The following is a 27,829-nucleotide window of genomic DNA, read 5'->3' on the forward strand; positions in this document are numbered from 1 at the left end:
TTTTGTATTTTGTAGCAGAAACGGGATCTCATCATGTTGGCCAGGCTGGTCTTGAACTCCTTACTTCAGGTGATATGGCTGCCTCAGCCTCCCAAAGTGCTGGGATTACGGGCGTGAGCCACTGTGCCTGGCCTGCTTTTTCTCTTTATTATGGGTCTCATTTTCTTGTTTCTTTGCATGTCTTATGATTTTTGATTGTATAGTTGACTTTGAATATGAAGAACAGTAGAGAGGACATACCTTTTCCTTTGTCAAGCAGCTAGAGTGAGGAGCTAATCACTTTCCTACAATTATGAAAAGAAATTGAGCCAGGCCATGGCTGGTTTGCAGTTTATTCGTAGCTCATTCTGGTTTGAAACATCTTCAGGGTGACACACCAGGTTCTTCTCGGTAGTGGAAGATTTGGATCTAAATATTTGAAAACAGTGATGTCTCTGTCACTCTCCTCTTTGTGGTCTCACTTCCATCCTCTCAACTGGGAGAACAGGCAGGATAGGTGAGCTAGCTTCATGTCTGGGAGTCCTCCAGATTCCAACCCAACATGCCAAGCCAGTAAATCTCCTTACCCCAGCAAAGTTGCTCATCTTATATTCTGCAATTGCCCTCAGAAAGGAAAATGGCCATTGGCTTTTTCTTACCTGGAAAGGGCTTATAAGCCTTCTGGAATTTAGTAAATTTAGACTTCTGTGCATATGCAGATCTCTGATGGGTCTAAGTAAAATACGATATTTTAGAAGTTTATCAGCTTATCTTCTTTTCTCATTGCTTTGGTGAGAGCGATGTCTTGTAGTTGAACATTCTATCTTGAAGCAGACATCTTAGTTATTTAAGTATGATACTCCATTAAGTGATTGTATGATCATTTGTTTAATAGTCCCCTATTGATAAACATTTTGGTCATTTTTAGCGTTTTCCTTTTGTAAAACAGCACTACTATGAGTAATCCTGTGGATGTCTTTCCAGATTTTTGCCAGTATATTCTTAGAAGTGACACTGCTGAATTCAAAGGGTAAATGAAGTAGTGATTTAGTTATATCCTCCTCCATAGGATCTGTGTCACTTTGTATTCTCACTAGCTATAGATGAGGAAGCTTCCCCTTGTCTTGCCCATGTTATAGGTCATCAGTCATTTGGATTTTCTGACAATTTGATACGTGAGAAATGGTAACTCAGTATACTTGGAATTGGCATTTCTATTATGAAAATAGTTAGTTGAGCATCTTTCATTATATTCAAAAGTTATTTGCAGTTCTTTTTTTGTGGCCTGTCTGTTCATACCTCTAGCCCATTTTTTTCTGTAGGATTCTTATTCTCTTTTCTTCTTTAAGAAACTTCATATTTTAAGGATATTAATCATTTTTATATAGGTTGCAAATGTTTTTCCCTTTTTGATTTTTTCTTTCTTGTAAGATTAAGCATAGATTTTTATTTATTTATTTATTTTTTTGAGACTGAGTCTCACTCTGTTGCCCAGGCTGGAGTGCAGTGGTGTGATCTCAGCTCACTTGCAACTGCTGCCTCCCAGGTTCAAGCGATTCTCCTGCCTCAGCGTCCCCAGTAGCTGGGACTACAGGTGCGTGCCACCATGCCCAGTTAAGCATAGATTTTTGAAGATTTATTTTGTAGTATAATTGTTTAAGACACCAGTTGTCACTTCAAATAGAAAGGTATTGATACAATTTTTTTTTTTTTTTTTTTTTTTACTTATAACATAGATTACAGACTTATTTTGGTATCCCGGAAGGTTCCCCTTGGTACCTCTCTGTCTATCTTTTGCACATTGTTGATTGGATTGGCCATACTGAATTATGTCTTGAAGATATTACACTGTTTTCTGCCATTTTGTGTAAGCTCTCAATGACATTCTTAGAGCTTCAAATCAAAGTTGAAAGGTCACCGTTTCTCTAAGTCTTGCCTGATGCCTCCAGATTTTTCATTACCTTTTACTATGATTTTCTTGTGCTCTATTATTGACCTCTATAATGGAGCTTATTCTGCTTTTAAGAAAATTGATTTTATGTCTGTTTTTCCTCTTCAAAGTCAGGGACCAGGTCTTACTTTTTTTTTTTTTTTTTGAGACGGAGCCTCCCTCTGTCGCCCAAGCTGGAGTGCAGTGGCGAGATCTCGGCTCACTGCAAGCTCCACCTCCTGGGTCCACACCATTCTCCCGCCTCAGGAGTAGCTGAGTAGCTGAGACTACAGGCGCCTGCCACAACACCCGGCTAATTTTTTCTATTTTTTTGGTAGAGACAGGGTTTCCACTTTGTTAGCCAGGATGGTCTCGATCTCCTGACCTCATGATCCGCCCGCCTCGGCCTCCCAAAGTGCAGGGATTACAGGCATGAGCCACTGCGCCCGGCCTCTTTCACCTCTAATCCCAATTCTTCCAGATAGGTGCACTATGGATATTTTAACAATGGAGAAAACCCTATTCATGGGCTATGATCCCTGGGAAGCTGGGCTGCCAAGTGTTTAAACATGTAATGATGGGACCAGGTGCCTCAGTGGCTGGGAGCTGGGGTGGACATAGAAGTCATGAGTCCCTGGAGACCAAGCTGGAGCTTATGGCTTTGGAATCAGGATCAGGATGGAATGCTGCTGTGGCCCTCTAGCAGCCAGCCACATAAAAGCAAGACCGATCATTCATTAAACACTTACTAGGTGTCAGTCTTTACACTAGGCATTTCATGTAGTTTATAATATTTAATCCCTACAGCAGTTACATTATGAGGATTTTACAGATGAGGAATCAGACCCAGGAAGCCGTTTTTGAAAATGTCACTTCAATGGGCAATGACAGCATAAGGACCTGTTCATTTGAAGATTTCCTAGCCCTGAGGTGCATGCCCTTCTCCACTGTGCTGCCATGCCTTCATTTAGTATTGTTCTCCAATGCAATTTCAAATAACTCTACTCGATTCAGAGATGATCATTTTTGCTACATAGATGTATGAATTATGCAGTTACTTTCTGAGTTTGAAGACCTGGTATAAGAAAAAGAAACCAGATATTTGATAGAGTCAAACCTGGTAAGGTATTCAAAGGCCAGGGGTTTACAGAAAGTGTGGGAGAGAAAGAGAAGGATGTCTAGGTAAATATTTCAAACTAGAGATTTAAGAAAATAAAAACTTCCCCTGTTGTATAAGCATGCCATCTCCTTTTAAAGAGTTGGGTGGAATTTTTGGAGGAAATCCTATTTCTCAGTAAGGCAATAGAAGAGATTTCTGATGATCTGAGATACATTTCTTATTCCATTTAAAACAGCCTTTCCCTAAGGATTGTGTATGTTTGGGTGAACTTGTGTATGTGGACATGTGCGAGAGCGTGTGCACACCTGTGAGTGTATGTACATGAGTGTGTGTTAGTGTCTGAGTGTGAGTGTATGTGAATCTGAATATGAGTTTGTGTGTGTGTGAGTGTGTTTGATGCAGGCACAAACTCACATTTTCTCATTTTATCACTTGTTTTTAGTTGAACAAAGTATTAGCTAGAGGCATAATGAAACAATAATGATCAAGATTGGCAGAAATACAAGCATCAATTGAATTTGAAAACAATTTTACTGGCCAAAGATAGGTTGTATTTTGTTGAAATGCAGAAAATAATTTTCACTAATTTTAGGGTGGAAGGGTTCAAAAAATAAAGCCTTTTGTAAAGACTTCTGAATATCCCCCCTGAAATCAGCCAATTATATGAGGATGATTTAAAATGTCATTGTTAACTTCAAAAGTTCAGAGGCTTCTGAGCATGCCCCAGAACATGTTGAAATATGTGAAAAAAATTACGAATGAGAGCAAGTAACTTTTCTAACAAGCTGCAGGCAAACAAGCAAAAATCCCAGTTCAACAGGGGCAGGCCATGTAGGCGGAAACCTCAAGCTGTACACAGCCTACTCCCTACTGTAAGGTTTGTAGAGTGTTGATCCACCAGAGTATAGAGATTGGGCTTGGAAGAGCCTCCAAACCTTGCCTAATTTCCAAACGTGTGAGCTTTTTCAATTCTAGTTAGCTTGATGAGGAAAAGGTAATTAGGCAAATCCCAAATACTCTGGTAGCACCCTTTGTGGTGTGGCCTGTCCTGGGAGGTGTGGACTCCTGGCCTAGAGGGTGTATGAGCTATGTGGCCCTCCCTATCTCTGTCAGCTCTCTGAGCTCAGGCCTGGGATCTGCCTCCTTGGGGTGGTGCTGGCATGATTCTCTAACTTGGGACACATTAACAGGTTTAGGGGCTCTAATCAAGGTGGTGGACACGATGCCTCACCTCCCCACAGGGTATTCAACAGAGAAATAATTCTGAGATCTCTGTAATGAAGCACAGAGATGATTTTATTATGTAGACGTTGACCCCTTTTGCCAATACAGCTTGGTACAATATTTGGGGGTTTCTTGGTGGGTCAGTTTGGTTTACTCATCCAGAGTGGGACTGAGTGGCCTGGTCTCATAGGTTGACGATTAGGCTGGCTGTTACCCTCTGCCTGGGCATGGCCCACATAGGGGAGCAAAGGCAGAATTTCAGAGGCAATGTACTAATGCTGGGGGTTGGGGGTCTTTCCCGCTGACACGCTCTCTTCCCCTGCTCTGCCCTCCTGGCTGGGCCTCGGGGTGAATCTGCCTCTTCCCCACCTGGTTAATGTGGCTCCGCAAGTGTGTCATTACATTTGTGTGGCTCTGCTCATCCAACCCCATGCTGGGCCTGGGTTTTGGTCTCCATGAGAGGCCCTGTGTGGGCAGACCCCTAGCTAGCAGATGGGACCCCATCTGGGGTGACAGCTTGCAAAGACGGCACCCTGACTCTGGGTCTGCACAGTGTCTGTGTGGTCTGCAGATCTAAGTCCTTCTCCATTTGCAAGGACACAAAGCGCACAGGAGAGTGAAGACACACTCTGTATATGTTTGCTTTAATGCTTAAAGGCCTGGTTTGGGGCTCGGTGCAGTGGCTTATGCCTCTAATACTAGTATTTTGAGAGGCTGAAGTGTGAGGATCACTTGAGGCCAGGAGTTCAAGACCAGCCTGGGCAACATAGTGAGACTGTGTCTCTCCATGCAAAACAAAACACAAAATCTAAACCAAAAAACTTAGCTGGGTGTGGTGGCATGTGCCTGTAGTTCCAGCTCCTCCGGGAGGCTAACTGGGGAGGATCCCTTGAGTCCAGGAGTTCAAAGCTACAGTGAGCTGTGATCACACCACTGCACTGCACTCGAACTGCGTGACAGAGAAAGACCCTGACTCAAACAAAAAAAAGGAAAAAAAAATCTAGTTCGACTTCCTTTGAGAGTCTTTTCCCTGGAGCTATGGAGCTGGCAAAGCCTTCAGGAGTCCTGAGATATTTTCTCCCTGAGAGTCCTAGGACACCCTTTATCATTGGAGCCTGCAGAGCCCATAAGGAATGTTTAATTACAGCTTCGGTCCTTAGAAAAGAAGGTCCATCTCCTGGGTCTGTCCCTGCGGTTCGAACCCACCATGCAGGTCTGGGCGCGCATGACCACATGTTTCTACAAGTGCATACTCATATCCAACTTCCCAGTTTAAACAAACAAACAAAAAATACATCAAGGAAAAGTTATTTTATACTTAGCAATCCACACTATCAAAATTTTTCAGTCAGAAAAGTCCTTAGTATGTGAATCAATTCCATCATTTTATAAAACCGATGTTACACACCTTGTCTTGTCTCATAGAACTGAGCCTTTTTATCAACCTCTTGCTGTTAGAACCTGGCCTGTTTCCTCTGCCTGCCTGGCATAGTTAGAGACAGGACACATTTTGGTTCTTTGTCCCCTTTGTAAGATCCCCATGAGGTCTTGAGTGTGAATCTCAGAAAACAGTTTTGCTCAAAAACCAAACACCCCCTAAGATCCCAGGAAGTGGCGGTGACTTTGCACTGTTTTCAGCAGTGCCTGTTCCAAGGAAGGTTGTTAGCATTGGGTTAAAACCATCAGAAAATCCATCATGAGGGCGTTTTCAGCTTTACCAGAAGCAGGAAGTTACAGAAATCTCTGAAGTAGAGTCCGTCCTGGTGCAGCCCGGCTGACTCAATGGGTTTACATGTTTTGGTTGTGGTTTGAGGATATAAAACCTCTGGATGGGATGTCAGGTGAACCTGCAGTTTGCTGATGGCTAGTAGGGTTTGAGTATTTCTCTGTATGTTGCTAGCTGTCTGTGTGCGATGCTCCTTTCCAATTTTGTTCTTCCAGATCCCCTCCTCTCCTTCAAGAATGTGTGGACTTGTGCTGCTATCTCCTCAGCCCTTCGCAGATCTGGGGGTCTCCTTTATATTTTGCGATGTTTCAGAGTTTCTGGGGCTTTCTGGGTTGGCCTCCCTTTGCCTGAATGCAGGCCATTGTCTTGTACGCTGACTTGCCCCAACTATTGTATGGCTGTTCCCGAAAAGTAGACTCCACAGCTCACTTTGTTAATGCTACCAATATGTACTCTATAAAATCTTGGGGGAAACAGCTGAATACGGAGGATGACATTACCTCCCTAGAACCGGCTGCTGGTAGAACCACACATCTGGATCTGGCCCTAAACTTTCCCAAAAGGAATCTCTGCACTTTGGGATCCAGGCCTAATGTGCTGCCCCCTCTGTCCTGCAAGGAGAGCCTCATTCCAAGTTGCAGCATGGTCAACCATGAGGACCTCTGTTTTCTCAGGGATGATCTTTTCCTGACCCAGGGGAATTGGGACCTCAAAGAGCTAGGGCAAGGTCATATAAAATGTAAGTTTACTTATATTTTTATATATAAGATGGAAGACTCCGTCAGGCTTCCCTCCCACTGTGGGTGCTCTCTCAAGCCCTTCCTGCTGCCTCTCCATAGCTGGTCTGGCCCAGTCTCCCCAAAGACTTTGCCTCAAATTCTCAGTGAGAACAGACTTGAACCAAGAGAATAGATTAATAAATTCATAGGTCATAAATAGGTCATACATTCATAAACTGGGAAAAGGAGTAAGTTCTTAACCTTCCAGGGCTGTGGTCTTCCTATTCCAACCACAACACAGAAGTGCTGTATCCTCCCAAAGGTGGATTAGAAGGGATCCCCTGGCTCAGAATCATGCATAGAACGCTGCAAAAGTTTACTCCAGGGCAATCCCAGCCTCCCTGAGACTCACTCACAGCCTTTCCCCTTCAGAATGGACCCACTGAGCCCTTAGCTCTGACTTGAACCTGAACAAGGTGACCTTGGGCAGGTGGTCTTCCCCAGCCTGAGTCTGACCCTCAAATGTGGAAGTTGGAGGTGGCCAGGTCTGCCCCTTGCTGCTGTCCTGTGCTCTCCGTCGCTGCTGGAGAGGGGATTTGCTGGGGCACGCTTGCTTTTCTGACCCAGGCAAGCTTCTTTTTGGTGCCTTTCTCTAACAGATAAAAAAATGGTATGAGAGAAGAATTGAGCACCTGTGAGATGCCTGCCCATTCCCAAGGGTTGGGGAGCTCAGCCTGACTCCCACTCCCTGGGCGGGCCTGGTTGCCTCACCCCCAAGGTCCTCACAGTCCAGGCCACAGAGAGTGAGGGCTGTGGCTGTTCTTTTTCCTGTGTCATCTCAGCAAAGGGGGATCCTGCCAGTTAATGCAGGAAACAGACTGGAAAAGATGGCAAACCCAAAGGTAAGGGTGTCCTGCCGGAGCTCCCCAGGGCTCAGGAGACTTCCCACCCTTCTCCTGAGGGTGGGCCTGGCTTTCCTGCCTCTCCCACCCCTGGTGCCTGCTGCTCACCTGACAAGAACCCATTTGGTCAGTGCCCACATCCTCTAAGGCACACAATCCTGGGCCTCCAGGTAGGGCCTTCTCCTTGGATTGACAGGCGGGGCCTAGGGGAAGGAGCTTATATTCTCCCTCTCTCTCTGTCTCTTCTGATCCTTTTTTGTTTTTCAGAGAAACTATTCCAACAACACAGGAATAGACAGACTCAGATGTGCTGGTTCTCGCTCACCTGCCCTCCCAGCCCTCTCTCCCCGCGGAGGTGAACAGAGCCATTGCCTGGTGAGCCCCTGCAGGCTCCATAAGTGCTGCTTCCATGCCCTTCCTTTAAATGGGCCAAGGGCGGGCTCTATTGATGTAGCAACTTGCTTTCCACAACGTGTCCCGGCTCTTTCTATGTGGGTGGACACACATCTCTTTCATCTTTCAAACTTTCCCCCTTTGCCCCTTTGCCCAGGTATGGTAAGTGTCCAATGGCTACAGAAACTTGATGAATAGACTGTATTAAGCGTCTGATTAGCTATAAATCCTTGTGCCTGGTGTTGGAGATCTGGGGTAGTATCTGTTGCATGCTGACCTTCCCAAGTCAGGATTTCTCTCCCTTCTGATTTGCCTTTTTCTGATTAACGTCCAAACGTGAGGAATATTCAGTTCTCTTTAGATGAAGAATCTCCTCAACTAAGAGTCATCTAGATGGAAGATTTTGAAAATTTAGTTGCAAAGAGATGAGGCTGTGTCCTGTTTTGTATTCTGCTTTCTCTCTTGTGGGAATGTCCCCACCCTTCACGGAGCTGCGCTCCTTCCTCGAGGCCGGCAGGGCGGATGCCAAGTGTTCTGGAGAAACTGAATTAAGGACACATTGTTTTCTACCCCTCTGTGCACTCATTTTGTTTCATATCAGATGATATCATTTTGTTTGGATATATATCAGATTATACCATTAAATCTGAGGGGACCATAAATATCGCAAAGTGAATCCCTGGCTAACATTCTGACCTTGCTTACCTGCCTGGATTCTACACTTAACAGAAAGTAATTTATTCCAGGGGTGACAGGGAATTTCCATGGTGCGAGTGGAGAAGAATTCTGAAGGCTTGCCCATGCTGGCAGGAAGGAGTGTCTTAATGATTAATTATGTCCTCTAGTCACTCTAAGGCCAGTGACAAAGGGTGGGCAAGTATTTGCCATCTTCTGGAGTGAGCAACTGTTGCTACCCTCTTGGGCCCATCCAAAAAGAAACATCCAAGCTCCCGAGGGACAGAGAGATGCACATCACAAAAGCCAGTGGGTGTGCGCTTTATCGCTTAGTGCTTAACCTGGTCATCTACCTGCCAATCAGCTGAAACATACCAATCTACGTGGGAAGCTTCCATTCGTATAGTCCTGCCGCTTCCTGTGGCCGCTGCATATTCAATGCTCCTTGCTGCTTATTTCTGGAATTGAGGTGGCCTCGTGCTTTTATAGGACAGCAATTGACACATTTGCCCTGGCAGCTGAGACAGCCCATGAGGAAAGACGCTTTGGGGTCCACCTGTCCTATTTAGAAACAGTTACACAGTGAGTTAATTTCCAGATGCTGGGTTCATTTTCAGAAAGTCTTTTGGAAGCAGGGAAAAGAGTGGTTTGGAACCCTTGTTCTTTTGGAGTTTTTTGGGGGAATGGAAAATAACCTCTGGGCAGTTCTCTTTGTGTCAGAAGCCTTGTATCAATCACCAAATAGTTATCCAACATTTACCCAGTCTGGAGTGTATGGGGCTCCGGGCCAGAGCCCAGGCACAGAGCCCTAGTTGGGAGGAGCCCACGTTCAGCAGGGCACATGGCAAAAGGTGGTACTCGTTCAGGTCAGGGCTGGGAGATCAGCAGTATAGAGAGACTGGTGTGGCTGCCCAGGCAGGGGGTGGTTGTGCCTGCCTGGGGCATTGGGAAGGCTGCCGAGACCCAGTGACACTTGGGCCTGGCCTTGAAGGTAACTAGGAGTTTGCAAGCTAGAGAGTGAGGGAGAGGAGAGGTTGGGAAGGATGCGCAGAGGCTGTGTTTTGGACTTGGGGAGAATTGGTTGGGTTGAGGGAATGTCCAGAGAGAGATTTGGCAAGGACACTCGGAGACTGGTGTGTGGGTGGCCTCCTGGGCTGCCTTAGACCCTCATCTTCATGCCCTGCTGCTATGAATTTTTTATTATTGTATTTTGTTTCATTTTGACAGGATATTTTGATAGACTTCTAAAAATGGACAGGACTGTTTTTCTAGCCTTTTGTGATAAAAGTGCCCTTTGTGCTAAAAATTCTAGCCCATGGTGTGTTGCATCTGTAGGTCTCTAGCTTGGCCAGGCCTGCTTCTGTTTGGGGTTTCTAGAGCTGATATTCCTCTGCTGAAGGCTTTATAAGCTCAGATGGCATTTCCTGCCCTGAATCCAAGTCTGCCGCTTAAGAATATGCCATTAAAGGCTCACTGGGTTTGGGTTGGAGTGTGGAATTCTCATTCCACTCAGAATGAGCACGGTTGGGCACAGATTGCAAGACCTCTTTTAGATTTGAAGGTCTCAGCTCTTGCACATGGAAATGACTGAGCTCCTGGTGCTGACCTGAGAGCTGACATTGAGACAGAGGAACTGTGGGCACCATCCACATTCACCTGGATCCTGAGTGTGGCTTCTCTTTTCCTCTGCCCTTCTCAGTTTGAAGTTTTTGAAGCTCTCATTTCTTCCTCCAGTTCTGTTTACTTTGCTTTTTATTTCATTTCCTTTATCCAGTCTGTTTCTCCTATTTCTGTGAGAAACTATCCTAGTTCAATCTCTCATTTGAATTCAGTGAAAGCTGTCTGCCTACAGACTCCACGTCTCTTAAACCTCTGCTCCTTGGAAACTCAGATTTCTTCTTCCCTTCAGAGCTCAGTTTCATCAGCACTTCTGGGAGATTGCAATGTTGTCTGCACAGAAAAATGACCCCTTTATTTCAAGGCACTCCTCTCTACCTTCCAGAAGCACGGTTTTGGGTGTGAGCTGCCAGTTACAGTCCTTAGCATGGTTTGCTAAGGTCTGGGCCTGGGCACATGACCCATCCCAAGCCAAAGGCAATCCTTCCCTGGGACTGCATCTGGAGCTGGCGTGGGGCATATATGTTTCTCTGTGGTCCTAAAGCCGCAAGGTCATCGATTTGGAGATGCTTCCAGCCTTGGGGTGGATGAAAGAACTCCTCCCTCAGAGAGTGAATCCATCACCAACCAGGAGAAACACATAAACAAGAGACGTGGGCCTTCACCTTTATATCTAGGCCCATTCCTTTATTGCTCAGTCCTTCAATTCACCCACTCTTTTTACCTTCTCTCCCCCAAACTTTTGCTACAGCATTGCTCCTTTGTGGTACGCTCTTTGGAAGATTTCTGTTGAAACTAGAATGAAATCTCGACTCTCATGTGGTCAACAGGCCTGGCTCCTGCCTGCCTCCCTCCCTGCTCCCTGGGTGTCCTAGACCCATCTTGCAGCATGTTCCTCCCTCAGGGTCCCTTCCCAGCCCTCTTCAGAGAGGCCTTCCCTGGTATGTCCCTGAGGGAAGTCACCCTCCTCACTCTGAATCATCAGGTCCCAGAGATTTCTTTTTAAAGTACTTACATCATTTTATATCTGTACCTGCCTTTGAAATTTACTTGCTTTGTTCCCTCTTTGTCTGTTCCACAAAGAGTTCAGCACCACGGGGAGCCCATCTGTCCAGGACACTGTATCCCTAGCGTTTGGCATGGGTGGGCTCCAGAAACTGCTTGTTGAGTGCACGAATGAGAGTGAGAATACTGGAGAACATCCCCCTGTGGCCAGGGGCTTGTCCCCTAAGCCAGCCAGCTCTGGCTTTCCCAAGGTTACGCTATGTGCACCAATAGCGTCTGGGTGCCATCCTTTCCTGTCTCACTGTGGTGAAATGTGGGTTAAGAAGAATGAATTTCACTGGGTGTGGTGGTTTATGCCTGTAATCTCAGCACTTTGGGAAGCTGAGACAGGTGGATCACTTGAGGTCAGGAGTTCGAGACCAGCCTGGCCAACATGGTGAAACCCCATTTCTACCAAAAATACAAAAATTAGCCAGGTGTGGTGGTGTGCACCTGTAATCTCAGCTACTTGGGAGGCTGAGGCAGGAGAATAACTAGAACCCGGGAGGCAGAGGTTGCAGTAAGCTGAGATCGCACGACTGCACTCCAGCCTGGGTGATAGAGGGAGACTCCGTCTCAAAAAAAAGAAATAAATAAATAAAGAAAAAAGAACAATGAATTTGAGGGGTGTAGTCTTTGGGCTGGGCCCTGAAGGGCACATGGGATTTGGGCCCAAGAGATATTCCCAGCTGGGTGGGGTCTCAGACCTCATAGCCATGTGAAACACCTGAGTCTTAGGAAAGGCCTTTCAGTACACCCCATTCACATTGGCTGCCACTCCCTTCCCCTACCCTCTGATTTATGATCTTTGGCCTCACTTGTTATCTTCCTGATATGAGAAAGCATCTTTTGTTCATTTCCTGCATGGTTGGACCCAAGGTCCGTGAGACCAAAGACAAGGTCCAGCCCAGGATGTGGAACGGCCACAGAGGATGATGGTGACAGCTTGGGGCTGAGGGAAACCGTGGGAACAGAGCACCCACGGTGTGGGCTGGGCTCAGTCCCCAGGCAGGGCGACTGTGCGGCTGGGATGTAGGAATGTCAGGTGCTAGTTGGCTGGGGAGGCACAAGCCCCTGTGGGCAGGGGGAATGCAGGCAGCCCTATGGCTGGTTTATGGGGCCCTGGAGAGCTGTGGAACAAGTGAGGGCGTGGTCAGGCTGCATTTGGGGAAGACAAGTGGAGGGGGAAGACAGAAGCTGGGACAGGGCAGGTGGCTGTTGGTGTCGGTGCAGAACTGGGCAGACACCCCAGGTCACTTGTGACCAAGAGTCTTTTCGGAGGTGAGACCCAGGATGTGGGTGTGAGTGAAGAGGGCTGAGCCAGAGGAAGTAACTCTCCTGTTTTCTGAAGGAGCTGCCTGATTTCCTTTCCACTCGGTGTCTTCCTGCACCTTTCCCATTTCCACCTGCGCTTTTCTCATTCGGAAAAGAGCATAGACGTGGATGCCACCCACAGCAGACGGTCCCGAGGGGCCTTGAGAAACACCAACTGCAGCTTCTGCTGTCCTGGGGCTCCCCCACCCCCAGAAGCTCCCCCACCTCACAGAGTCCTGAGCTAAGCACAGAATATTCTGGAACATTTTCCCTGTACACCCTGGGGGAGTGGACACAGAGCTGGAATTATCACGGTTCATCTCAAAAACGGACACATAGTTTGTATTCTGTTCTGTAATACGTTTTTATTTAAAATAAATGCAATGCTTTACATTTTTACTCTAGAGAAAATTTCATGCTGCAGCATCTCATTTAAACTACACTGCAGCACCTTCGAGTGGGTTCTAGTGTTATTATTACTATGACTAAAACTTCCATTTGACATTGACGTAGATTTTGGGAGACTCAGAAAAGTGAGGGCCTATCAGCACTCACGCCAGAACCGAACCCTTAGGTTGTTGGCCAGGTGGGGATCCTGAGGAGCCAGTTGCTGAGGATCAGGACCTGGGAGGCACCCACTGCACAGTTATTTTATTCATGTGATTCCATCTTCTCAGCAATGCCGTCCACAGGCACCGTGGCTGTCCTTACACCCTCAAGGAGGAACTGGAGACTTAAAGTTGCCGGGATCCTCTAGGGAGGCCTGCCTTGGAGATGGATGGGATGCTGCCGCTTCCACCGGCTGCTTCTCCAGCATCCACTACTGTCTCCTGGGCGTGGGTCTGGCCTTGGAGAACCAACTTGATCCCTTGCCCCCTGTGTCCCCTCTGTGGTCATTTGTTAATTGTGCTTTCCTTTCCCAAAGTCAACAGAACAATGCACAAAGCCCCTTTCATTCTGGAGAGCCTATTTATTTGTTTAGATAGAGCTTCAGAGAGTTGGCAGCCCTCACGCAGCTGCCCGCTGCCCATCCCAGGCAGGAAATGGAAACCCCCACACAATCGGCCTGTTGTGTAAAGCACAGTGATGACCATCAGGAGGTGGCTCAGCCTCCCGGGATGGGGGTGTCTGCTTGCTATGCAGCATCTCCAAATGCTCCCTAGTTACTAGAGTCAGTGTGCTCTCCCCCTCCGGGGGTTTCCTTAACAGCCCATGTGCTGACACATGGTTCTCAGCATTTTTCTGCCTCCATGCTACTCACACTAAACCCTCTGGTCAATGTCAGTGTCACCTCTCTGATGGTCAGTGATGCTCCTTTTTTCCGTGGGGGCAGCACCCAAGGAAGGGCTGGGGAAGTTCTCTCCTCCCAGAGTTCCTATTCATAGGGAGTCATGGAGAAGGTCCCAGAATAGAAATATCCTACACCCCCACATACCAGCCACATAGCTCCCCCTGCCTGGGGACTGAGCCCAGCCCACGCCCTCGGTGCTCTTCTCCCTAGGTTTAAATTCAGAGCCCTGTTGCCTGAGTTGACCCTGCTCTCACCTTGAATGCACTGGCAGATTTCCATGGGCTTCCAGCACCTCCTCTGTGCCCACTGGCGCCTGGTTCTGGGAATGACAGCAGGAGTGAAGAGGGGATGAAAACTGTCCCTAAAGAGCCAAGTGATGTTGAGTGCATGGGGAAGGGAACAGCATGATCTGTGGGTACACACAGACCATGGGGGGCTGACGGGGAAGGATATGGCTGGGCTCCTTGGAGGTGCATGAGGCACATGGAGCACAGTGCTCAAAGGCTGAGACAACAACGATGAAACGGGTGCGTTTAACACACTGACAGCTTTTAAAATGTGCCCTGAGGCAGGTGGCTGAGCTTATGTGTGATATTGATCCCTCCAGGGGTAGATGAGGCAGCACCACAGACTGAATGCTCACCCGGCATCAGCATCACGCATCCTAATTCTCGAAGTCATCATTCGAGTGGGGTTGTATCTACTTTTTAAAGATGAGGAAATGTAGTAATGTTTTTGCAGACATGGTAGAGCTAGTGGATGGCAGGAGCCCCTATCTCTGCTCAAGGGTGTCTGTCTTAGTCCATTTAGTGTTGCTATAACAGAATGCCTGAGACTACGTAATTTATAAAGAAAAGAGGGTTTTTTTTTTTTTTGGTTGGGGGATTGCTTTCCAGCAAAACCTGAAAAGCCTGCTAGACAAATTCTAAAAGAGCTCTAACACTTAAGAAAAGAGGTTGATTTGGCTCATGGTTCTGGAGGCTGTGAAGTCCAGGAAGCATGGGGCTGGCTTCTCATGAGGACCTTGTGCTGCACCCTAACATGGCAGAGAAGCAGCAGGGGAAGCAAGTATGTGCAAAAGGCCAGCCATGAGAGGCTTCCTCAACCTGTCACAAACTGCTCTTGTGAGGGTGAGTCAATTCCCGTGAGAACTGACCCAGTCTTGTGAGAATGGCATTAACCCATTCATGAGGGTGAGTTCTCAAGACCCAAACACCTTCTGTTAGGTTCCACCTCCTATCACATGAACTTTTGGGGGACACACTCAAAATGTAGCAGTGTCCTTGTCCTCAGGCACCCCTCAGGTGGGGTGAAGGCTGGGCACAACAAAATTGATGTGAAGACTCATCCCAAATGAATGGGGCACCCTCTTCCCTACAGGAGTGTCCACATAGCAGCTCCAAGCACTCAGCTTCCAGGGCCAGCAAGCTGCACGGGCGGCACCACTGGGCTCCCGAGAGGGCTGGGGGCTGCCAATGACATTTGCACTTCCCTTCAAAGCACCGAGGCACCAAGACTTTGAGGATGATGCCCAGAGGGAGGGTTTGGATGAGGTCCAGGAAGAAAGAAAGCTGAAGCCTCTTTGGGCAGGTGAGGGAGATGGCAGGAGCTTGTGGTTTTAGAGGCTGTGTGAAGTGAGATTGGACACTCAGCTGGGTCAGCCCAGAGGCTGGGTCCTGAGGTTGGTCTCAGGGCAGCTCCGGGAGACTCCACGTGTCCCTTCTGCAGGATGCTTCCCTCTCCTCGAGGCCCATCAGTGTGGAGTGGAGCATCCACCAGGGCCCCCAAGAACTTGGCACTGAGGGCACTGGGAATGTTCAGCAGGGCAGTGCCCAGCCTCAGCATGACAGGCTCGATGGCCCCAGGAGGATGTTCCAGCACCTCCCCTGCCATCCTCACCAGGGCTGGGAGGTGGAGATAGGCACTGGTGCTGCCCATGCAGTGCCCTGGGTTCTACATCTGGATTTCCCAGCAGGATGGGGTTTCAGGAGTCCCCTTAGAGAACCAGCTAATTTAACCTTATTAATCAGATGGGAATCAAAGGTCCTGGGTGGGGAAGTGAAGAGCTGCATGCTACAGACACATGGAGGTGATAGGGGCTCCTCCATCCACCCGGGAAAGGGCTCTGGGTGGGAGCCCTTGCTCTGCCAACCTTGGGAGGGCTTCATCCATCTCCTGGACACTCCCAGGGCCTGAGGAATCCTTGACGTCCCCTCTAGGTGCAACCCATGTCCCTGTGTGCATCCCAGGGGTCATCCTCAAATACTACCGTGGTCTTGGTGTCCAGAATCTTCTTAGCAGGTGGGGCTCTCCTTTCTTCACCAGCCTGTTGGGATCAGCTCAGCCAGTCTGGTTAAAGGACAAGTGGCTCTGAGCTTTATTGTAGAACTTACTTTGTTTTCCTCATAACTTTCTCTTTCCATGTCTGCAGCTGCCATTGTGTGGGGCTCCTTGAGGATGGGGACCCCCTGTTCTCTCAGCTCCACTCCCCAGCATGAGTCATGGTCTCTCTAAAGACCCCCTGGCCTTAAAGCAAACATCACCAGGTGCACTCAGCAAGGCTGGTGTCATCTCTGGATTCTCTTCATAACGCTATGGGAACACAGGAAGATAAAGCTCAAAGTGGAGGGAAATTTTTGGTGGCTTTGGGTGTTGGAAGTGGTGCAGCTCCCCAGGACCCCAGCCCCTCAGCAAAGCCGCCCTCAGATACTGTGTATGGGCTGTAGCAAGTCTGTTGATTTCTCATGGGGTAACGCCCTCCTTGGATGTTACTCTTTGCAGTTTACATAATACTAGACACATATTATTTTCTTTTATCTTCATACAACCCTACATTTTCAGCATTCTGGGAATTAACCACAGGCCCCACTATCTGGTGCCCAGAAAGACATGGGACACCCTTGGAGAGGAGCACTTGGCCTCTTTGCTGTCCTCGGACTTAGTGCAGGGTGGTGGGTGCCGGGTGCGGTGGATGGGGCTGGGCAGCAATGATGGTGCCCTTTACTCTTCTCCATTTACCTCCAAGGTTCTTCATGGTCTATGACTCCAAGGTCTGAAATGATCTCATTTACCCCACATGATAGATGTGGCCCTTCCAGATGAGGAGTTCAACAAGACTACATGGTAGAGCAGCCAGAGAACCCACTGGAAATAAGGCTCAAAATAAGGAGTAACCACAAAATAAGGTGATTTATAAAGGTGCATTAACTTATTTCACTAGAGAGGCAGCATTTTATTGAGTAAAGAGCACTGGGTTTTTAATCTCAGAGTCAACTATACGGTTCTGCTGTCTGTCTAAAGATCTTGGTCAAGAGTGTCTCCTTTCTTCCCTTGTAAAGGGATGAATGGGAATCCCCACCTTAGAATCTCTATGACATTATGAAGCTGGAAGTAAATAAGGGACATAGACAACCTTTCAGAATCAGCAAGGGTTGTCCCAATAGGGTGTTGGCTACAAGAATTATTTCATGAAAGAATATCTCAGGGATCACAGTTGAGCTGAATCTGGATCATTCTTTTGACCTGTACTGAGGAAAAGACAGGGATTTGAGTGCATTTAGGGTGAGCTGGCATTTTTCACTTCTCACCTCTCCATGCAATGATGCTGTCTGCTGGCCCCAAAGGCACTGTATTTGCCATCTCTCACCAGAGCCTTGTCAGAGCCTGCTGCAGCCAGGGGCTGGGCATGCCTAAGAGCCGGGAGCCACTGTTCCCAAGTGGGCATTACAGGGTTAACTTGTGTCTGTGGCCAAGGCACAGAATCAAAGTAGGATGAGTCACCTCTTGTGCATTTCTTACTTCAGCCCTCCTGCCACTTTAGAAGTTTCTGATGTTTAATTTCCTCGTTTCATTCCAGAGACAGAGAATGCTGATTCACTATGCAGTGAAACATGCCTAACGTGTCAACAGCTAAATGCCCGGTGACAGTGTGGTTGTCTGGGCAACAGAAGAAGTCACCCACGCAAACACTTAAAGGTGAGCTGTGAGAGTTAAGCAAGCGGGAGCTTTTCACTGAGTGAACTCACGTCCACACAGGGTGCGTGTTCAGACTCACGGGGCAGCTCCAATTATGGGGAAGGTCGGAGAAATTCCAGGCTCCGAGGAGTCCAAGACAGCATTCCAGCTCATTCCTAATTTTATATTCAGGTTCCTTAAAACAAAAACTTCACTATGAGACATTCAAACCCTTTGCATGTTACAGTCTGCAAAGTTTGAAAAGCATTTCCTTCCTTAGTGTCTCTGAGTTGCCCTAAATACTTTCTTTCAACCAGCAGGATAGGGGACAGTAGGTTTTTGTGACTACTTAAGTCTTGGCAGCAAGAATGGGGCCCCAGAAGGCGCTAGTGTTTCTGGAACAACCGATATCAGGGCAGATGTCTTGTGCTTGGCCCCTTGGTGGGCCACTTGCCTGGAGTTATGGGACAGGGATGAGCATGTTCCTGCCCCTGAGGAGTTCATGGTCAGTAGGGGAGGCTGCATAGACAAAACTCAACCCCTGGACTATGGCTGTGGCCCTGGATGGCCCAGAGGCCCAAGAAAATATTGGGCAAGAGTACCTCTTTTCTTCCTCTGTAAAGGGAGTAATAGGAATTCACACACTACAGTCATTGTGACAGGATGCATGGGTGGGGGTGTGCAGGGGACTTGAAGAGGCCACTGCATCCCAACTTTCTCTTCTGCTGATTATTTCCTTTAAATAACTTCTTGTGGATATTGCTTATGAGCAGATGCCTTGCTAGGTGGGAAGGGGGATGGAAGTGAAAACACATAAATCATCATCTCTGTTTGTGGAACTCGAGGTCAGGTGTGGAGAGGGCTGAGCAGGTGAAACTGAGTCTCCAGGTTGGGGCATGAGCCAGGGGCTGAAAGGGGCTCTCCCTGTACTGGCAGGGAGGATTCTCTTCTTCCCTGCTCTGTGGTTGCATGTGGCCTGCCAACCGTTTCTCTGTCACACCATGATGCAGTCATGGGTTGTCCACCCATTGATCTCAGGCATCTGTGGTCCTCCTCAAGGGAGAACACATGTTGGGTCATCTTCGTCTCTGATCTTTGTCCCTGCTGTCCCTGATCATGCTGGAGGTCAGGAAGGAGCTAGGCTCACAGGTGTGCCCAGGTGTTTGGCAGGGCAAAGGCCTGGGCTGAGACTCTACAATCTTGGGCTTGAGTTTTCCCATCTGTAGGACAGGAGCAGGGCCAGCATCCTAGGTTTGTGGTGAGGACTGGTTGAGGGCCACACCAGGCTCCTGGATGTGGCCGGCTGACCAGGGCTGGGTGTCTCACTGGCTCGCAACAGGGAAGAACAGAAATTGAGAGTAAATCAATGTGAACTTTACAGCAATTAGGCAGAGTAATTTCATATCTGTTGAATCTAACAAAAAATGGGATTTGTGTTTTGTCTTCATTTCATTTTTCTAGGACCATACTTATTTTACAAGAGGAACAGTTTTCAATGGAATGGATATTAAAACACACACCTGGATCCCTTTACCACAGGTGCTTTGAGAGGCACCATCAAGGACAGTGAGCTAACGCAGGTAACTCAGGTAACAGGGCGGTGAGCTAATGCAGGTAACACAGGTGACAGAGTCATGGGCTAATACAGGTAACACAGGGTAGTGAGTTAACTCAAGTAATATAGCTAAGCCAGGTAACCCAGCTTACACAGCCAACACCTGGCAGTGGGCTAACACAGTTAACTCAGGTGCTCACCTCGGGCACATCCCCAAGGCCCCTCGTGAGGTGGTCTGATGGCTGTCTACATGTGCCCCTGGACATCTGTATCCTGATGCAGGGGAGCCTGGCAGGAGAGGGGACCCTCAGACTCTCCCTCAGCCACACAGGGCAGACATCCTCCACGTGGCTTCAGCTGCAGCTGTCAATTGAGTGGTGGGCAAGGCCATGCTCTGGATAGTCTACCTGGTCCTCGGTGAGGCCCAGCCCCACTGACAAGCATTTGGGGTCTGTTTAATTGCTCAGCCTGTCTGCTGCTATTTGTCACATGCTAGTATTGGTGTGGCAGCTTCTTCTCTGAGTTCTAGAGCAGGAAAGTCCTGGAGACGAGGCCACTGCCAATGGGGGACCCTGCAGCCTGGAAGGGAAGGTGCCTGTGTGGTCCAGCCCTAGTGGCAGAAACTTGGGTCTGCTCTGTGTGTTGCGTCTACAAGTGTGTCTGCTTGGCTCCTCACTGACAACAGGAGTCTAAGAGATTCCTAACAACTGACTAAACAACACAGAGTCTGAGCAAACGTTACAGAAATGGGGGAAATTGCAATGAAATTCTGGAAAAGGAAACAGGCACAACTGAGACAACATGGAACCTTGCTTCTGAAGGAAGGGGTGGGGTGCTGTCTGGAAAGTTCTAGAAGACAAAGCACTAGCAAAAGGCAAGAACATATTGTGAATGACTCAGGAGAGGGATTCTGCAATTTTTTTTATCCACTAGGACAATCCTGTACTGAAGAGAGTGGGGCTCTGGGCAAACCCTTCTCTCCCCGGAGTCTCATTATTTTCAGTCTATAGTAGGGCAGTAGTGGGTAAGACGCCGCTAAAGTCCCTTCCAGGACCAGTGCTGGGAGTTTTCTTTGAAGGGACACGGTGGCTGCTCCTTTCCACCCTGATGGCTTCCTCATGCCTCTTCCTTCCTTGCCAACCCACATCATCTCCCTGGGACTTTGCTTGCAGTCAGCTCAGAGGTTGCCTCCATGCCTGCATTCCTACTGTGCTGTAAACACAAAGGATTCTTGCCAGATAGGGTGGAGTGGGGTGGGTCTTACCCCTCCTGAGGGAAGCCTATGAACTCTGACTCAGTGAGTTAAGGAGAAATACTTCTCAGGTGTGGAGAACACATACGCTGCTGTGTTGAAGGTGGTGCCGGGCAACATTTAAGTCTCCTCCAGGAGCCCCGGGAGCAGCCTCTGGGGGATGACCTGCACGTGGTCCAGTAACTTGTGTCAGGTTTGCAGGATGTTAGGGCCTTCAAGTTGATTTAGCTCAAAAATATTCAAACTTCCTTAGCAGCAAAAGTATTCTTTCTCAAACAAGATCTTATATGAAGTCCAAATATATAAAATTTCTATATTAAAGACAGCATTTTGTAAATTTCTTTATAATTTCTCATTGACGATGCTTATTTATTTGTAATTAAGCCAGTCAACAAAAATGTAAAGGACATTTTGGTCAACCTGGATACTTTCAGTTGTTTCAATATTTTCCTATCTTGATCTTCCTCATGTGGTTCCAAAAAATTCCAATTCATAAAGATAAGTAGCAATATAATAATTTCTATAATTTTCTTGAATAGATATGTCCAGTTTTGAATTTCAGGGAAATAAAAGAACCTCCTAATCAGAGACATGCCTGAAAGAATTTGACTCGAACTCAAAATATCTGAGATGATTGATAAGCTAATTACCCAAATCTGACCACTATACATTATATGTGTGGAAGCTTCACTCTGTAGCCCATACATATGTATAATTATTATATGCCAATTAAAAAAAGAAATTTGAAATATGCTTGTGTAAGAGTCATGAAAGAAGTATTTTTTAAAATTGAGGTAAAATTCACATATCATAAAATTCACCATTTTAACCGTTTTGAGGCGTACAATTCAGCGGCTTTTACATTCTCAGTGTTGTGCCAGCATGGTCTCTATCTAACTGCAGAACATTTTTATCACCCCCAAAAGAAAACTGACCCTATTAAGTATGCATATTTTCACTTAAGTTTTGAAGTAGTTACAATATATTAAAATGAAATGAATGCAAACCAGAATAACCAAGATGGTTTTAGGTCATGATAAATTCTGTGAAGGGAAAGTGATAACGAATGAGAGGGAAGAAAGACACTTGATTTAAGACCCAGATAATGGGAAGGTGTCAGCAATGGAAGGGGCAAAGGACGGGCCTGAAGAGGGGAAAGAGAGGGTGTGCAGAAGCCCTGAGGCAGGAATGAATTCAGCAGGTTTAAGTATAGAAATGAGGCCTGTGTGCTTGGAAGGGAATGTGCCCAGGAAGGATGGGGGAGCCAGAGTGGGCTGCTGGGGTTTGGGGTGCACTTTAGAATCCCCTGAACAATGTGGGAGCTCCTGGCCTGGGGCCTAGCCATGGTCGCTGGCAAGCTCTGCAGGTGATCCTGGTGAGAAGCCGGGACACAAATACCTGATGGCCGCTGACGGATTTGAGAAGCAGATACGCAAAAATGATCTGAGTGTCAACCATAAAACTCAGGAGTTGAGCTTTGTTTCTTCTCAGTCTATGCATATAACACCTTTAAAATGTTTCTTTCTGACATTATGAATCTTGACTTCATGAAACTAAGAAGAAATATAAAGAAAACAAGTTATTCTGGGTGAAATGTTCTCATGCTGGGTCATTAGCAGTTGCAGAAAAAAAAAAACCCATTATCTCCTTGCTAACTATTTTCCAACAACGTTAAAGATTTTATGACATTTATTTTATTGAAAATAATTAGTGCCTGCCGGCCTGGCAGGCAGCTGAGAGGAAGGCACTGTCCCCAGAGCCCTCTGCTGCAGCCTCTACCCAGGTCCAGGGGCTGCCGTTCCTGCATCTGCGCTTATCCCCGCAGGCGCTTTTGTAGCGGGTGTTAGTGGCTCTTGGCTGATTAACAAAGATAAGTTTAATTTTACCCTTAGATGGGAACACGGAGATTCAGTCTTATCTGATGCCTGCCAACTTCAGGCTCTTCTGTCTAAATTATGGGAATTTGGATTTCCTTGGCTGTCCACCATCAGAAATCAGTAGATTTCTGCAAAGGAAACCAAACAGGACTCCAGCTGTCCAGGTACCATCTGCCAGAAATGGGTTGATGCTACTTCTATTTACAAAAATACTGGCTGTGGAGTGTGTGTCTGTCCCACAAATCCAAGGCTTTCTAGCCTGGCCCTGGGGGTCCAATGTAGGGAGGGAGTTCAGCTGTGAGGCGCAGGCCAAGCCTGTGCTGTGCCTGGGGGAGATGCTCAGGGACCTGGCAGCCACTCATGGAAACTCTGCGTGGCACATCCTCAGGAGAAATCCAGGCCACCCACAGCCTGTGGGGCTGTAAGTGGACAATTTGCTGCTTTGAGTCTCAGTTTCCTTGTCTGAAAAAGGGCCTGATGATAGAGCTTGCTTCTTAATTTCAGCTGTGTTTGTCCTATGCTCTGCCACATTAACTGGGGCAACTTGGTTAGAAGCAACCCTGGCCCCGACCTGATCCCCTTCACTGTGGGGCCCTGGCCAGTTTTCTATGGGGATGGGAGCCCCCAGCCGGGCTGATCCACAGCTGCCCTCATGGGATTGGTTGAGTGATGCAGCACTTTGGCCACCATCCCCTGACCACGCCTGGCTCCTAGTGCCCTTGGGGGTCCTGAGCTTTTGGCTGTGGGAGCAGAAGTCCCAAGGGAGGCTCTAAGAATAGAGTCCTTTCCAAAACTCTCATTTCCAAAGTCTGAACTGACTTTGCAATACTAAATAAATATTGAACGAAGTTGACCTTCTCTCTCCTGCCAGAATTTTCAGCTTCTTTTTCTAAAATCCATGCTAATAGCTTCTGAACCTTTTCCTCTGCGAGAAACCCCCTCTTTTTCAAAATACTTGCTGAAAAGTCGATATCTCGTAAAAGACAAATGCATGAAACTACCAGGAACTTAGGAAGTCCAAGGGAGTCTGAGAAAAATCATAACTTGGTAAGAAAATCTTAAAAAATATTTTTATTAGCTTCTTGAGTAATGGAATTTAGTCAGGACTTCAGACAGAGCCAAATATGAAATTTGTTGTTATTTAATATTATCCAACATGAAACTGCTCTCCATTTTAAGCAATGGTTTAAATGTTAATTTTCATTAGGGATCTTTCTGCTTTCAGGAAAAATAACAGTCAAACCTAGCGCAAACTTGATTAGGTGATTGTTTTGCTTAAAATCCCCAGAGATTTAAGGTTAGAGATTTCATTCTCATTGTCCTTTGGCTCTGACCGAGGCTTCTCACCTTTCAGTCTTGCTGTTGACTGCTGTCTACTGTCTACCTGCCTCCATTCCGTGCCTCCACAACTGCCCCCAACCAGTTTCCAACTGGAGGGGACTGGCTCCTCCATGGAACCCTGGAAATCTTGCATATATCCACCAGGCCATGTGGCAAGACTGTCACTGTGGCTAAATCCAAATCTTTGCAGAGTGTCTTGTGGTCCTCTTAGACCATGGGATTGATCATGGAGGCTTATGAGAAGCTGCCATTTCTCAGTTGCTTCCCTGGGATTGAGGAGGCTGTGGTGAAAGTTTCTCATGGCCTCCTGGCTTCTGACGAGACCTCCCTTTGGGCACAGCTACAGGTGATAGAGCTGCTTTGCCACAGGGTGGCAGGGTGTCCCATCCCTCATTCCTGTTGCTGTTGTTTCTGCACTGTCTTGAACAGGGACCTGGGGAGCTGGCACGTGCAGCTCCTCCTCTTTTTGCCGTTCATGGGCCCAGTAAACTCTCCTGGCCTGAGAAGGGCTCCTTGTTTCTCTGCCTGCTGAATCAGTCCTGTCAGCCTCTGCTTTGTCTTGTTCTTGATATCTCCTCTCCTCCCTGCTCCCGGCCCTCTCCCTGAGATTCAAGTCTGTGTTTGGGGCTCTTCACTTGCTCTGTGGCACCTCTTTCTGAGATGCTGCTTGCCTATCCTAACTTCAAACTGTGGAGTGGTCTGTCTTCTCTGTAGTGTCTTTGCTCTGCCCTGCCCAGCTATGGGCTGGAATCTCCAATGTTTCAAGTGATGAAAGTGGTAGAATATGTCACCTTTGAAAATGGGGAAACTGCCCTGTCTCCCTCAGCCACACAAAGCACCAGCAGGGGCAGGACACCAGGGGTCTTGGCTGAGGTCCTTTTCAGCTCTGAAAGCTCAGTATCCATCCAGAAGCGCACCAGTCTCCTTGGGAGCTTTAGAGCAGATGACAAGATTGTTGGATACAGGTGGCCAAAGGAGCCCTTTTTTCTTGGGACATTGAAGAAACAGATTAAAATGCTACCTGCACATGTGGTACTTAAAACCCCGCTGTGCTCCTGAATTCCCTCATTCGTAAAATGGTAATACCAATATTTATCTCTCCACCTGTTGAGAGGACCCCAGAAAGGTGTCTAGGAGGACACTCTGCCCCTCCAGGACCTGCCACCCCATGTCCTATGGGAAAAGCACAGACATGGGATCCGAAAGATCCTAGGTCTTGCTCTAAGTCTCTCCCTCAACAGGTGGGAGAAAACCTTAGTTTTCTTATGTACCATATGAATGTAGCATTAATAGCTAACTTATGAGGTTTCTGTGAAGATCAGTGAGATTATTAGCAAAAATATATATGAAAGTTCCCAGGCCATAGGAGACACATAATAAATGTTAACTGAATTGATGTTTGAAGTTGTAGGCTTTGCACATCCTATTGGCTTAAAACTAATTAGAGATACGTGCTCTCACCAGGAAATAAGTACCTAACACTCTTACCACATCGTCTTAGGAAGGCAGTGTGGAGCTGCTTGATGGCCTCTGAGTCACATTGCTTCCCTAGAAGCTTATTGGCCAGAGTTGCAAAGTTCTGCTGCCTGAGCCATCTGAGGGCTGTGTCTGCTGTGCTGGTGCCCATCCATGTTGGAGCAGAAAGGACCCTAGCTGAAGCTCAGAGGCTGTGACTGGAGCCACGACAGGAAGGGCAGGCTGCTGCTTCTGCAGAACCAGAGGCCTGGGGGAGAGGCCCCAGAGCTCAACACAAAAGCCCCAGATGAAGCCCTAGTGAGGCCAAGTCCTGTCTGAGACTCTGCCGTTGGGGTTGCCTGTGAGTGGCTGACACTGACCCCTGCCCCCAGCCCCTTTATTGGGATTCTGCTGTTCTCATCCCTGTCCCCTGGTGCAGCTACACACATTTGCTCAGAAAGAGAGCCCCCAGCAGCTTAGATTTCAAGATTTTCTTGTTGGAAAAACACAACTTTTGGAGAAAATAAAAATGGCAAAATGCTAAATGCTGGTGTGAGCCAAGCATGTGTCAGGCGTGTGTCAGGCACGTGCCACACATATCAGATCATCCTCTGTGTTGTTTCTATGGTTCCTTCCCGCCATGTTGTGAAAGACACATCATTGTTCCCACGTTGAAGAGGAAATGGAGGCCCGAAGGGTAAAGTGTGTGTCCACCTTGCATAGCCCATAGAAGGCAGGCCCAGGATGGGTGGCCCTGGTCCTGCAGACTCTGAATTCCTTTGCTGTGCTGTGATCACACCCATTGTAATCATGATGCCATAGCCACTGGCACTTGCGTCACTCTCTCAGCCTTAGAGACTGTTCCCCTGACACTACGTCCTTGGATCTTAACTTAGCCCAGTTGGTAGACAATCTGGTCATACCCATCAGAGGATGAAAGAAGCCCATGGGAAGTTGGCTGCCCTGCCCTGCCCCTGCCACCTGGGGAAAGTTTGGGAGGAGAGGACTATTGGAGCCACCCATAGGAGAGCCAGGTTGGGACTGCCAATGCAGACCAGGTGTGGTGATGCTGTGTGGAGAGTGCCTCTTCCTCCAGGAGAGTGGCTCCGTGTTGAAGAGGACTGAGAATGTGGCTGGAACGGGCAATGAGAACCGTTGTCAGCAGGATGTGCCCGTGCTAGGGAGCCTGGTCCCGAGCCCAGGGTTGCGGGTGAGTGGGGAGGGGAGGTGCAGGAGGTTGGAGGTGGCAGAGGAGATGGACCAGCTCCTTCACTGCATCGGTGGTCCCGATGGTCGACAGGATGGGCTGGATGGGACTGGCAGTGGACAGAGAGAGGAAGTGTGTCTCCGAAGGGCAGCACAGAGCCATGTGCCTAGCCGAGGGGCATGCAGGATCCTGAAGCCAGCTCAGAGATGGTGTGTCTGGGTAGCAGGGAACTGGGGCATGTTGCAAAAAAAAAAAAAAAAAAAAAAAAAAAAAAAAAAAAAACGGGAAGTGGGGCATGCAAGAGCCTGGATTGCAATGATCTATTAAAGATGGAACTCCGGGCTTCTGATACATGACCTGGGGCCCGGAAACATTTGGGTGCCCCACAGGACAGAGCATGGTGTGGCAGGGGTGCTTGGGGAGATGACCTCAAGGGGAGGGGAGGCTGGAGAAGGTGAAATTAAGCTGTGGGAAGTCCCTGCGACGGACAGCTCCAGGTGTGAGGCTTGCGGTTCACAAACGGGTTCACACCTACAGCTGCTTTCACCTGGGTCCCAGAGGACCCTGAGGTTCAGGAAGTCTCCTGGAATTGCCTGGGGTCACAGGACTTGTAGGGCTAGAGGTCACCAGGCCTGGCTGTGCCCTGTCCTCCCATCCCCTCTACTGACTGGACATGTGATTTCCTGTCTACTGCAGAGGGACATACAGGGGGAGGGGCAGGGGTGCAGAGACCGTGGGGTGGAGGGTGCTTTATGGCATGTTTACCCTCACATGATCAATAAGCGCTTTTACCTTAGACCCTCGGAGGCATTTCAAAAACAACTTTCCCAGTGTTAAAATGAGTGAAGTCAGAAGCTGAAGCAGGCATGTCCGGGCTCCCTCCAGTGTGTGCGTTTTCCTGGCGTCACTGGGCTCCTTGCCCTGCTGGCAGCTCCACACCGGCCCCTCAGCCTGGAGGCAGCAGCCCCAGTGGTTGAGCCAGGGGTGCTCCCCAAAGGACCCTGTGCATGTCCAGTCTAGGGAGAACCAGCCTCCAGTCTAGGGAGAACCTAGGCTGGCAGACGATGAAGTCACTTTTATTTCTATTAAATACTGTGCGGCCTGGAATAGGGACACATGTACAGATTTTAAAACCACACTCAGCCAAGACGGTTCAATGATGTGTCAAAGACATCTGACAGGGGTCACCTGTGAGAGCAGCTGAGGTTGACCTTTGATGTTGGAGAGTACACAGGACACTTGAGTTTCTTCTTA

At 47.9% G+C, this 27,829-nt stretch overlaps 1 long non-coding RNA gene and 1 pseudogene across 2 annotated transcripts in view, besides 1 other annotated feature; one reads left to right on the forward strand and one right to left on the reverse strand.

Annotated features, from left to right (window-relative positions):
* LOC102723446 (uncharacterized) overlaps window positions 1–27,829 on the forward strand; it is a 52,707-nt gene that overhangs the window by 20,111 nt on the left and 4,767 nt on the right. The window contains exons 2-5 of one of the 2 annotated variants that reach the window (NR_187745.1): window positions 16,960–17,119; window positions 17,791–17,909; window positions 19,350–19,468; window positions 25,415–25,913. This is a non-coding gene — a long non-coding RNA (uncharacterized LOC102723446). Of the gene's footprint in view, window positions 1–16,959; window positions 17,120–17,790; window positions 17,910–19,349; window positions 19,469–25,414; window positions 25,914–27,829 lie in introns of those variants that run through there. The other variant, NR_187744.1, reaches the window with a different exon arrangement.
* On the reverse strand, window positions 14,823–14,879 carry RNU7-76P (RNA, U7 small nuclear 76 pseudogene; annotated as a pseudogene).
* Window positions 17,068–18,267: an enhancer, noted in NCBI's record as "P300/CBP strongly-dependent group 1 enhancer chr7:46017226-46018425 (GRCh37/hg19 assembly coordinates)". NCBI's record gives its function as "activates an origin of replication core promoter dependent on BRD2, BRD4, P300/CBP, MED14 and CDK7 cofactors, with strong dependence on P300/CBP, by STARR-seq in HCT116 cells {active_cell/tissue: HCT116}" and the evidence as "EXISTENCE:reporter gene assay evidence [ECO:0000049][PMID:35650434]".

This window comes from Homo sapiens, chromosome 7 (assembly GCF_000001405.40).
Source record: "Homo sapiens chromosome 7, GRCh38.p14 Primary Assembly".
Taxonomy (NCBI): domain Eukaryota; kingdom Metazoa; phylum Chordata; class Mammalia; order Primates; family Hominidae; genus Homo; species Homo sapiens.